The sequence below is a fragment of the Homo sapiens genome, chromosome 3, assembly GCF_000001405.40.
Source record: "Homo sapiens chromosome 3, GRCh38.p14 Primary Assembly".
NCBI classification, from domain to species: Eukaryota; Metazoa; Chordata; class Mammalia; order Primates; family Hominidae; genus Homo; species Homo sapiens.
In genome coordinates this window covers 141288851-141302169 of record NC_000003.12, presented here as the reverse complement: position 1 = coordinate 141302169, position 13319 = coordinate 141288851, and the positions used below count along the sequence as shown (strand labels likewise).

The 13319-nt window shown below is 41.7% G+C and overlaps 1 protein-coding gene across 28 annotated transcripts in view; it reads right to left on the bottom strand.

Moving 5' to 3' along the window:
* Nucleotides 1–7245: 7245 nt before the first annotated feature.
* Nucleotides 7246–13319, bottom strand: part of PXYLP1 (2-phosphoxylose phosphatase 1) — a 63100-nt gene continuing 57026 nt past the window's right edge. For all 28 annotated transcript variants that reach the window (XM_047449228.1, XM_047449230.1, XM_047449223.1 and 25 more), the window contains one exon: nucleotides 7246–9902. In XM_047449228.1, the coding sequence (XP_047305184.1) occupies nucleotides 8965–9902 (938 nt within the window). In that variant the 3' untranslated portion in view covers nucleotides 7246–8964. The remainder of the gene's footprint in view (nucleotides 9903–13319) is intronic.

Here is a 13319-nt window from a genome sequence, read left to right as displayed (position 1 = left end):
TGGTGGCTCACACCTGTAATCCCAGCACTATGGAAGGCTGAGGCGGGTGGATCACCTGAGGTTGGGAGTTCAAGACCAGGCTGACCAACATGGAGAAACCCCGTCTCTACTAAAAATACAAAATTAGCCGGGCGTGGTGGTGGCACATGCCTGTAATCCCAGCTACTCAGGAGGCTGAGGCAGGAGAAACGCTTGAAACTGGGAGGCAGAGGGTGCAGTGAGCTGAGATTGTGCCATTCTACTCCAGCCTGGGCAAGAGCAAAACTCCGTCTCAAAAAAAACCCCAAAAAAACCTCACATCAATAAATACCTGCACCACAATGAAGGAGCCTCCGCTTTGTTCTGTGTAAAGCCTTGTAGTCCTGTTTTAGTACCTTGGCTTTAAGTTGCCATTTCATGGATTTTTAATGAGATTTTTAAAATATGTCTAATCTATACCATGAAATATTACTCAATGGCTATAAAGAGCCATCTACATTTATATACATCTCAATCAGTCAATCAATCACCTATCATCTTAACATGGAAATATCTTTACGACATACTGATAAGGGTGGCAAGTTAATGAGAAATACTTCTCAAGATGGCCAAATAGGAACAGCTCCAGTCTATAGCTTTCAGCATGAGCACGCAGAAGACGGGTGATTTCTCCATCTCCAACTGAGGTACCGGGTTCAGCTCACTGGGGCTTGTCGGACAGTGGGTGCAGGATAGTGAGTGGATGCAGTGCACCGAGAGTGAGCCGAAGCAGGGCGAGGCATCACCTCACCCGGGAAGCGCGAGGGGTCAGGGAATTCCCTTTCCTAGCCAAGCGAAGCTGTGACAGATGGCACCTGGAAAATTGGGTCACTCCCACCCTAATACTGCACTTTTCCAATGGTCTTAGCAAACGACACACCAGGAGATTATATCCTGCACCTGGCTTGGAGGGTCCCATGCCCACAGAGCCCCGCTCATTGCTAGTACAGCAGTCTGAGAAGCTTAAACTGCGTGGAGCCCACCGCAGCTCAAGGAGGCCTGCCTGCCTCTGTAGACTCCACCTCTGGGGGCAGGGCATAGCTGAACAAAAGGCAGCAGAAACCTCTGCAGACTTAAATGTCCCTGCTTTGAAGAGAGCAGTGGTTCTCCCAGCATGGAGTCTGAGATCTGAGAACGGACAGACTGCCTCCTCAAGTGGGTCCCTGACCCACGAGTAGCCTAACTGGGAGGCACCCCCCAGTAGGGGCAGACTGACACCTCACATGGCTGGGTACCCTTCTGAGACGAAACTTCCAAAGGAACGATTAGGCAGTGACATTTGCTGTTCAGCAACATTCACTGTTCTGCAGCCTCCGCTGCTGATACCCAAGCAAACAGGGTCTGGAGTGGACCTCCAGCAAACTCCAACAGACCTGCAGCTGAGAGTCCTGACTGTTAGAAGGAAAACTAACAAACAGAAAAGACATCCACACCAAAACCCCATCTGTACATCACCATCATCAAAGACCAAAGGTAGATAAAACCACAAAGATGGGGAAAAAAACAGAGCAGAAAAACTGAAAGTTCTAAAAATCAGAGCGCCTCTCCCCCTCTAAAGGAACGCAGCTCCTCGCCAGCAACAGAACAAAGCTGGGTGGAAAATGACTTTGACGAGTAGAGAGAAGAAGGCTTCAGACGATCAAACTCCTCCGAGCTCAAGGAGGAAGATTGAACCCATTGCAAAGAAGCAAAAAACCTTGAAAAAAGATTAGACGAATGGCTAACTAGAATAACCAGTGTAGAGAAGTCCTTAAATGACCTGATGGAGCTGAAAACCATGGCACGAGAACTATGTGATGAACGCACAAGCTTCAGTAGCCGATTCGATCAATGGGAAGAAAGGGTATCAGTGATTGAAGATCAAATGAATGAAATGAAGCCAGAAGAGAAGTTTAGAGAAAAAAGAGTAAAAAGAAACAAACAAACCCTCCAAGAAATATGGGACTATGTGAAAAGACCAAATCTACATCTGATTGGTGTACCTGAAAGTGACGGGGAGAATGGAACCAAGTTGGAAAACACTCTGCAGGATATTATCCAGGAGAACTTCCCCAACCTAGCAAGGCAGGCCAACATTCGAATTCAGGAAATACACAGAACACCACAAAGATACTCCTCGAGAAGAGCAACTCCAAGACACATAACTGTCAGATTCACCAAAGTTGAAATGAAGGAAAAAATGTTAAGGGCAGCCAGAGAGAAAGGTCGGGTTACCCACAAAGGGAAGCCCATCAGACTAACAGCTGATCTCTCAGCAGAAACCCTACAAGCCAGAAGAGAGTGGGGGCCAATATTCAACATTCTTAAAGAAAAGAATTTTCAATCCAGAATTTCATATCCAGCCAAACTAAGCTTCATAAGTGAAGGAGAAATAAAATCCTTTACAGACAAGCAAATGCTGAGAGATTTTGTCACCACCAGGCCTGCCCTAAAAGAGCTGCTGAAGGAAGCACTAAACATGGAAAGGAACAACTGGTACCAGCCACTGCAAAAACATGCCAAATTGTAAAAGACCATTGATGCATTGATGCTAGGAAGAAACTGCATCAACTAACAAGCAAAATAACCAGCTAACATCATACTGACAGGATCAAATTCATACATAACAATATTAACCTTAAATGTAAATGGGCTAAATGCTCCAATTAAAAGACAGAGACTGGCAAATTTGATAAAGAGTCAAGACCCATCAGTGTGCTGTATTCAGGAGACCCATCTCATGTAGAGACACACATAGGCTCAAAATAAAGGGATGGAGGAAGATCTACCAAGTAAATGGAAAACAAAAAAAGGCAGGGGTTGCAATCCTAGACTCTGATAAAACAGACTTTAAACCAACAAAGATCAAAAGAGACAAAGAAGGCCATTACATAATGGTAAAAGGATCAATTCAACAAGAAGAGCTAACTATCCTAAATATATATGCACCAATACAGGAGCACCCAGATTCATAAAGCAAGTCCTTAGAGACCTACAGAGAGACTTAGACTCCCACACAATAATAATGGGAGATTGTAACACCCCACTGTCAACATTAGACAGATCAACGAGACAGAAAGTTAACAAGGATATCCAGGAATTGAACTCAGCTCTGCACCAAGCGGACCTAATAGACATCTACAGAACTCTCCATCCCAAATCAACAGAATATACCTTCTTAGCACCACATCACACTTATTCCAAAATTGACCACATAGTTGGAAGTAAAGCACTCCTCAGCAAATGTAAAAGAACAGAAATTATAACAAACTGTCTCTCAGACCACAGTGCAATCTAGGACTCAGGATTAAGAAACTCACTCAAAACTGCTCAACTACATGGAATCCGAACAACTTGCTCCTGAATGACTACTGAGTACATAACGAAATGAAGGCAGAAATAAAGATGTTCTTTGAAACCAATGAGAACAAAGACACAACATACCATAATCTCTGGGACACATTTAAAGCAGTGTGTAGAGGGAAATTTATAACACTAAATGCCCACAAGAGAAAGCAGGAAAGATCTAAAATTGACACCCTAACATCACAATTAAAAGAACTAGAGAAGCAAGAGCAAACACATTCAAAAGCTAGCAAAAGGCAAGAAATAACTAAGATCAGAGCAGAACTGAAGGAGATAGACACACAAAAAACCCTTCAAAAAAATCAATGAATCCAGGAGGTGGTTTTTTGAAAAGATCAACAAAATTGATAGTCCACTAGCAAGACTAATAAAGAAGAAAAGAGAGAAGAATCAAATAGATGCAATAAAAAATGATGAAGGGGATATCACCACCAATCCCACAGAAATACAAATTACCATCAGAGAATACTACAAACACCTCTACGCAAATAAACTAGAAAATCTAGAAGAAATGGACAAATTCCTGGACACATACACCCTCCCAAGACTAAACCAGGAAGAAGTTGAATCTCTGAATAGACCAATAACAGGCTCTGAAATTGAGGTAATAATTAATAGCATACCAACCAAAAAAAGTCCAGGACCAGATGGATTCACAGCTGAATTCTACCGGAGGTACAAGGAGGAGCTGGTACCATTCCTTCTGAAACTATTCCAATCAATAGAAAAAGAGGGAATCCTCCCTAACTCATTTTATGAGGCCAGCATCATCCTGATACCAAAGCCTGACAGAGACACCACAAAAAAAGAGAATTTTAGACCAACATCCCTGATGAACACTGATGCAAAAATCCTCAATAAAATACTGGCAAACCGAATCCAGCAGCACATCAAAAAGCTTATCCACCATGATCAAGTGGACTTCATTCCTGGGATGCAAGGTTGGTTCAACATACGCAAATCAATAAACATAATCCAGCATATAAACAGAACCAAAGACAAAAACCACATGATTATCTCATTAGATGCAGAAAAGGCCTCTGACAAAATTCAACAGCCCTTCATGCTAAAAACTCTCAATAAATTAGGTATTGATGGGATTTATCTCAAAATAAAAGAGCTATTTATGACAAACCCACAGCCAATATCATACTGAATGGGCAAAAACTGGAAGCATTCCCTTTGAAAACCGGCACAAGACAGGATGCCCTCTCTCACCACTCCTATTCAACATAGTGTTGGAAGTTCTGGCCAGGGCAATCTGGCAGGAGAAAGAAACAAAGGGTATTCAATTAGGAAAAGAGGAAGTCAAATTGTCCCTGTTTGCAGGTGACATGATTGTATATCTAGAAAACCCCATTGTCTCAGCCCAAAATCTCCTTTAAGCTGATAAGCAACTTCAGCAAAGTCTCAGGATACAAAATCAATGTGAAAAAATCACAAGCATTCTTATACACCAATAACAAACAAACAGAGAGCCAAATCATGAGTGAACTCCCATTCACAATTGCTTCAAAGGGAATAAAATACCTAGGAATCCAACTTACAAGGGATGTGAAGGACCTCTTCAAGGAGAACTACAAACCACTGCTCAACGAAATAAAAGAGGACACAAACAAATGGAAGAACATTCCATGCTCATGGATAGGAAGAATCAATATTGTGAAAATGGCCATACTGTCCGAAGTAATTTACAGATTCAATACCATCCCCATCAAGCTACCAATGACTTTCTTCACAGAATTGGAAAAAACTACTTTAAAGTTCATACGGAACCAAAAAAGAGCCCTCATTGCCAAGTCAATCCTAAGCCAAAAGAACAAAGCTGGAGGCATCACGCTACCTGACTTCAAACTATACTACAAGGCTACAGTAACCGAAACAGCATGGTACTGGTACCAAAACAGAGATATAGACCAATGGAACAGAACAGAGCCCTCAGAAATAATACCACACATCTACAACCATCTGATCTTTGGCAAACCTGACAAAAACAAGAACTAGGGAAAGGATTCCCTATTTAATCAATGGTGCTGGGAAAACTGGCTAGCCATATGTAGAAAGCTGAAACTGGATCCCTTCCTTACACCTTATACAAAAATTAATTCAAGATGGATTAAAGACCTAAATGTTAGACCTAAAACCATAAAAACCCTAGAAGAAAATCTAGGCAATACCATTCAGGACATAGGCATGGGCAAGGACTTCATGTCTAAAACACCAAAAGCAATGGCAACAAAAGCCAAAATTGACAAATGGGATCTCATTAAACTAAAGAGCTTCTGCACAGCAAAAGAAACTACCATCAGAGTGAACAGGCAACCTACAGAATGGGAAAAAATTTTTGCAATCTACTCATCTGACAAAGGGCTAATATCCAGAATCTACAAAGAACTCAAACAAATTTACAAGAAACAAACAACCCCATCAGCAAGTGGGCGAAGGATATGAACAGATGCTTCTCAAAAGAAGACATTATGCAGCCAACAGACACATGAAAAAATGCTCATCATCACTGGCCATCAGAGAAATGCAAATCAAAACCACAACGAGATACCATCTCACACCAGTTAGAATGGCGATCATTAAAAAGCCAGGAAACAACAGGTGCTGGAGAGGATGTGGAGAAACAGGAACACTTTTACACTGTTGGTGGGACTGTAAACTAGTTCAACCATTGTGGAAGACAGTGTGGCGATTCCTCAAGGATCTAGAACTAGAAGTAGCATTTGACCCAGCGATCCCATTACTGGGTATATACCCAAAAGATTATAAATCATGCTGCTATAAAGACACATGCACACGTATGTTTATTGCGGCACTATTCACAATAGCAAAGACTTGGAACCAACCCAGATGTCCATCAATGATAGACTGGATTAAGAAAATGTGGCACATATACACCATGGAATACCATGCAGCCATAAAAAATGATGAGTCCATGTCCTTTGTAGGGACATGGATGAAACTGGAAACCATCATTCTCAGCAAACTATCGCAAGGACAAAAAACCAAACACCACGTGTTCTCACTCATAGGTGGGAATTGAACAATGAGAGCACTTGGACACAGGAAGGGGAACATCACACACTGAGGCCTGTTGTGGAGTGGGGGGCTGGGGGAGGGATAGCATTGGGAGATATACCTAATGTAAATGACGAGTTAATGGGTGCAGCACACCAACATGGCACATGTATACATATGTAACAAAGCTGCACGTTGTGAACATGTACCCTAGAACTTAAAATATAATAAAAAAAAGAAAAATAAATAAATAATTACATTGTAAAAAAAAAGAGAAATACTTCTAAGACATACTATTAAAAGATACAAGCTATTAAAAGTATTTTTAAAGGAAAAATATTTTTAAGGGAAGCAAGTCACAGAACTATATATATATACACACACATATTATATATATTTACATATATATAAAATGATCTAGTTCCTATTAAAAACTACATATATTTCTGAATCTACATGGAACTTTTCCAGAAGAATGTCAGACAGCTCACAACATTACCTCTGGAGGTGGGATTAGATGAGAACATCACTTCTGAAGCTGTTTTTCAGTATTGGTTATTTTCTAGTGGGCATGTATTAATCATAAAAACAAGGAAGCTAAATTATGCATGTATACACCCAGGCCTGTCATGAGTTAAGTCATTAGACCACTGCCCAGAAACCAAGGACTATGACTGTGTCCACTGATCTCATCTCTGTGCTTAGTGTTTGTTATGGAATGAAGTGTCTCGGAACTTGATAGTGAGGAAGATATTTTGATGCTGTGCATACCAGTGTCTTAGAAGACAAAACTGTTATCTACACTTTTGGTGTTGACTCTTAGCCACAATATTTACTTTTACCAACAGATACTATCAATTGATTTTTTAAAAAATCTTCCGAGTCACTTTTATTTTTAAGTCTTCAAGCTGTGTTTAGCAGTTCTAATTCAGATATATTGTGAGTGGGAAGGAAAGAAAACACATTTAGTCTTTGAATACTTGAGAGATAACACAACTTTCAGCAGTTAGTAAAGCAGTTAAAATAAAATTTTAAAATACTGGTTCTCTGCATGACATTTGAATGAAGGGGGAAAAATAAAATACTGGCTCTCACTTGAAAATAACTCGAGTGACTTATAGGTACAAACCATTAGTTGTATAGTATAGGTATTCTTAAAAAATTTATTTATAGAAACAGACATATTCAAATGCAACACTGGACAAAAACAAAGAGAAAAAGTTGGAATGCCGATGACAACAGAGAATCTCACTTTCACTTTCCATTTCTCTGAATTAGCACCATTAGTTCAGAAATCACAGATGTAATTATAATTGCTTCTAATATATAAAACACCTTATAAAGATCTGTAAACTATCTAATAGCAAAGTTCTTCCAAAAACGCATTTAAAAATCAATCAGAATTTACCATTTGAAACTGATGAAAATGGTTTAAAAATGAATCCAGTTCTACAGCTTGTCAAAGGGAATGAGCCATAATTAGTTTTATTGGAAGAAAGTGCCTGAATTCATCTTCTAGCCTCCTTCTAACCACCAAGCAGGTACAGCAAATTGAATATTACTACAGGAATAAGAGTCATCTAAAACTGGTCTTAGAAAATATTTTCCTAAACTATAAAAATACTAAATGGCATACAAAAATTTCAGCATATACAGCAAATAGACTACAGCAGACAAATATTTAGAACATACTTAAAACTATCTTGTACCACAATCATCATAAACATCAAGTATTCTTCTAATCAGTTTTCTATGATTCATTCTAATTCAATGTTTATTTACCCTCAAGTTTTGTTCTAGTGTCAGATACAGACCAAATTCTGTGTTTCTAGCAGAAGTTACTGGAGGAACCATTGAATAATTCTTGGTATTCAACTCGTTCTCAAAGTGCTGGAAGTGCAATTGTAGTATAGCCTATTTTTTAGATGAGGGGTCAGCAAACTACAGCCCAGGGGCCAAATCTGGTCACCATCTGTTTTGTCCGGCCTGGGAACCCAGCTACACATATTCCTTTATGTACTGTCTGTGGTGGCTTTCCTGCTTCAGAAACAGAGTTGAGTAGTTATGACAGAGACTGTATGTGGCCTTTTGGTCCACACAGTCTGAAATATTTACAATCTGGCCCTTTACAGAAAAAGTTTGCCAACCTTTATTTTAGATAAATCACTTCAAGAAATTCTTAACAAGGACAAGGTAAAAATGTCTAAGATTAAAAAAATTTTGGTTGAGGTGTGCTGGTTCCATCACATAGTAACATGGGGCAGGCCAGAAGAGTGCAAACTTGGATTGGCAACTTCAGGTCTTGAACTATATTATTCTGGCATTCTAAGCGAAGTCTGGCTATGATAAAGTACCTTCTATTCCTCTGTGAACTGGCCATTTTGTACCAAGCAATTCACGTACCACATTGCAGCAATGTGCTTACTGTTCAACCCCAACCATCTGTGGTTCCCACAAACAATATTTAGCCTTTAAAAAGCAATAATCTTCTACCCTTAGTAACAGACAAAACTAGAAGTGGACCTTTCCCTATGCTCTGTATTGGCATGGATTCTATACTGCTGTACTGCATACCTTTTAGAATCCTTCCCTGTGACATGCATCATAATAATTTGTACCACTGCCACCCAGGGCTACAAACATGTCCCTTTTCACAAAGCGGACCAAGTTTTCAAGCGGGCACATGGGCTTGGGAGAACGCTTGTGGTGGTCTTGGCAGAAAGAGGTGTGGAATGTGACATCGACGCCATTGTAAAGAATCCGGACGGAATGTTCACTGGGCTTTTCTCTGTCTTGCCAAAGCTCAAAGATCAACCTGGCTGCAAACCTTGGGAACCTGGCTTCTGAAAGGCCCAAGGCACTGAGAACTGGTGACAGAGTGACATCATGAGCAGAGTAGAGGGCAAAGAGCTCTTCTTTCCTGCCCTCGGTGGCACGCTGCATCCGGCCGATGGTTTGGTTCAGGATGGGGTGGGCACCCAGGAGAGAATACCCGAAGTACAATTTCTTCTCCCGTCTTTCCCTTTCATCCTCGATCTGATGGGTCTTAATTACCTTGAAGTGCTCCATGTCAACACAGCCATTTCTGGTACAGGGAAAGCTGACATTGTGGCAGAAGTGGCAGAGCATGGAGTCTATGGGGTTGGCAGCTCTAAGCTGCTTGGTGGGGACATCCACGATCTTGGCCATCTCCCCGTAGGTCTTCTCCAGCTGGCTGTTTTTCAAACGTAGGAGGTACTGACGACGCTGCTCCTTTTCCAGATACTGGTTTCTTACCGGGCAATAGCAGCTTCCAGAGCAGAACAGCGCACTTGGCTGGTGCCTGAAATAAATCTTCTTCCAGTCAAAATCTGGGAGAAAGCCATAAAGCAAGGCCAGCCCACTTTGTAGGGTCCGGCTTTTCCCAGTGGTCTCTAAATAGAGCTGGTCTGCAGACCAATCATTGGGCAGGAGTTTGTGTTTCTTTAGATAGATATCCCTCAGCAGCTGACCGTTCTGCAAATGCTGCACAACTCCTGAAACACAAGCACACAAAGCTTACCTTACTTCCAGCTGAGCAAAAGAAACAGCAAGGGGAGGTGGAGTCAGCGTGTGGCTCTGGAGTGTTTTAGGGCAAGAGAATGGCATCCAGCCTGTTTCCCCATGGTGTGGAAGTTACAAGCTCGAGTTCACAACAGCTTGTGAAGGGAGCCTCTTGGGGTTATTCATGAAGGATGAGCAGAGCGGGGCCCTGGCCTTGAGAACCACGGCCTTTGGACCATCTGCCTTGCACTTGGCCTCCAGACTGGCCTCTTCCCTGGGGAAAGTGTTGTGACTGGTTGGTCTCAGGGTTCGAAGTCACCCAGCCAGGGGATATCTGTAATTGCATGGGCCTAAGGAGAGGTTTTTCCCTCCTGTCCAGCATTCCTCAGTGTGCAGCGAGTGCTCAGTGAAACCGCTCAGGCGAAGGCTGACTGCAGATTCCCTGCTTGCTGCTGTCTCCTCACTGCTGGAGAGTCCCCTCCTTGACCCCATCCTCCCCAGCCTGCCAACCGAATGTTCTCTGATAACCTGCTGGGTACGTTCTGCCTGATCCTGGGGGCTTTACAGACTCGTCAACACACATGCATTCTCTGTATGATATGGAACAATCTCCTGATACCCAGATAGAATACTGGAAAAAAGCCAAGTGTAGAACAGTATGTTGATTATGCTCCTTTAAAAAGAAAGAGAGGGAAAAATAAGAATATGTATTTGCAGCTGCCTGAGTTTTGCATAAAGAAACTTTGGAAAGTTGTATAAGAAACTAATCTCAATGGTTCCCTGGGGGTGACGGAGGTACAAAAATGAGGTGGATGGAACATGGGTAGAAGCAAGAATTTAAAGTTTACTTCTTAGTACTGTTTTAGTTTTGAACTATCATGGTATGATAATAAATTAACTTTTAACATTGGAAAAAGCCTTATCTTTAAGCAGAAGAAGGCAACCCAAGACAAAAACAAGCTCACTCTCATCCTGTAGTAGGAGGTAACGGGACACAATCTGTCATGGGCATGAGTTCTACACACAGGCCCTGTGACCAGTGACACCATTTATTCAGATGTCCAAACAGTATGAAAAGTCCCACTGCAAAGATGAGACAACTTCAGCTGAAAATTGTGAGACAGAGGGAAATATGTTCCCCTGGGAAAGGGAACAGCTCAGCAAAACCCACAAAGGATGTCTGGGTCCTACTGTGCATGAAGAGTATTGAGAACAGAACTCCCCCAGGAACCCAGGAACTAAAGGCTGGAACAGGATTTAGCACTTCCAAGACGCTTTGCAAAAAAACATGCAAACCGTGAGAGACAAACATTAGATTCCGTGTCTCACCCTAGTTCACTGCGGGGCCTATTTTATTTGGTTAGGCCACATAAAGTTAGAGTGCTTACTGTGTGCCAGGCCTTTCCCATTTAATCCTCACAAAAACCCAATGAAGAAGGTATATTATTATATTTTATATTTTCCTTATTTTATAGATGAAGAAACAAAGGCCCTGAACCATTTACAGTTAAAAAGTGGCAGAGCTAAAACCCAAGACCCCATCTGGTCCTAATTTTATGCTCTTAGACCCTTACATTTTCATGCCGAAATACAAAGTTCTAGCTATTTAGGGCTTCTTATACTTGCCAAACATAGCCTGCATCTTCATGGCTTTGTTCATACCGTTCCCCTTTCTCTCCCTAGGGAAATCCTCCCAGGGCCTGGCTCCAAGCTCCAACACTACCTGCTCTGTAGTGCTTTCCTTCTTCTTCTCCCTGGTCAAGTTAATAATTCCTTCCTCTTCCCATATGCTGCTGGACCATGACAACATCAGCTGCATTTATTGGGAGCCTCTCATATGCCGGCACTGCACTAGGCACTCTACACATGCTACCTCATCAAATTCACCACCAGCCACTGGGAAGACAGGCTCCTCCCCATGCTACAGGTCTGTCTGACTCCAAGGCCTGTGTTTACTCTCTAAGGCCCTGCAGTATCTGGCATTACAGGCAGTTGTCTCCACGCACATTGTGTGCTGCAGTTGCAGCCTTCTTTAGGACAGGCAGGAGGGTCCTATTCATCCTGCTACCCTCTCACACTCAGCAGCTGCCAAAGCATCTTCAACAGGGTAGGCACTCATGAGCAATCTTACCTTACATAGTTACTGTAGGGTGCCGTAAGTGCACCAGGGACAAAAGATGATTATAACAGCCATGCATTTTTCATGATATTTAAAATAGAAATAAAAATGACCATTAAAAGAGAATGAGGAAACAGGAGCAGACAGTATTACAAAAATGATTTCTAGAGTAACACTAATTTAGAAACGATGATGATGATAGATGAATTGAGAAGAAAGATCTGAATGAATGATTAGGTGTGTGAGGGCCAACCCCCCAGCCTCTTCTCAGGTAGCAGCTCCTGGATCCAGAGACTGGCGCCCTCACCTCCTGTTCTCTGCACAGTCACCCTGACCTGTTAGCCAGGGCTGATGGATGCTAACCCCTAGGACCTCAAGGATTCTCCCTCTCTCAAGAATTTGGATTTGCAAGTTCATCTGTGTGTGTGGCTGGGACTGTAATTTTGTTGACAGACACAACAAAAAATTAGAGAGAGAGGCAGGGACAAGACAGCTTTTTTATTCCTGGTTCCAGTCTCTAGAGGTCTGGTCACACTCTTGATCTTAGAGTCTGTGAGTCATTCCTGAATTCTTATAATAAATTTCCTTTTTTTGCTTGAGGTGTTTTCTGTTATTTTTAACCAGAGAATCTAAGCAGCAGTTCTCAGCAAGAGTGCTACTGCCTTCAGAGAGGGCTTGGGGGTGGAGTTATCACAATAGTATGGGGAAAGGCATTCCTGGCACCTAGTGGGTAGGGGCTGGGGGGCTGGTCTCCAGAAGGGACACGTGTCTCTGTCCCACACAACTTTTGAATGCAGCATGAGACATTCCATCACGTGCAAAACATATTTGAATACTTTAGACTGTAGAATCTAATTCTGTTTTTGTGTCTAGAACACAAAACCATTTTTGTATAATATTAATGTTCACTGAATTTTCCAGAAATACAATATAAACTAAGGAACATCTATATTTTGTTTTGATCAGAACTTCAGAAAAACCATGTCCTGACATGTGGTATTAAGAGTCAACAATACAGCATCCATCAATCATCTGCATTTGTAGTTGTCAGAGTCACATTTAGGTACAAGCATTTGAAGATTTCATTCTATTTTCTAGTGTAGCTGTTCTTAAGCATTTATACAGAGACACATATAATTAGGTAGTAAATTAGTTTCTTTTCATTTGTTATCGCTGGGGACCCTGGTATAACTTTTAAGTAATTAACTGCATAGAAAGATTACATTCATTCATTCATTCATTCATTGAGACAGGGCCTCACTTTGTCACTCAGGCTGGAGTGCAGTGGCAT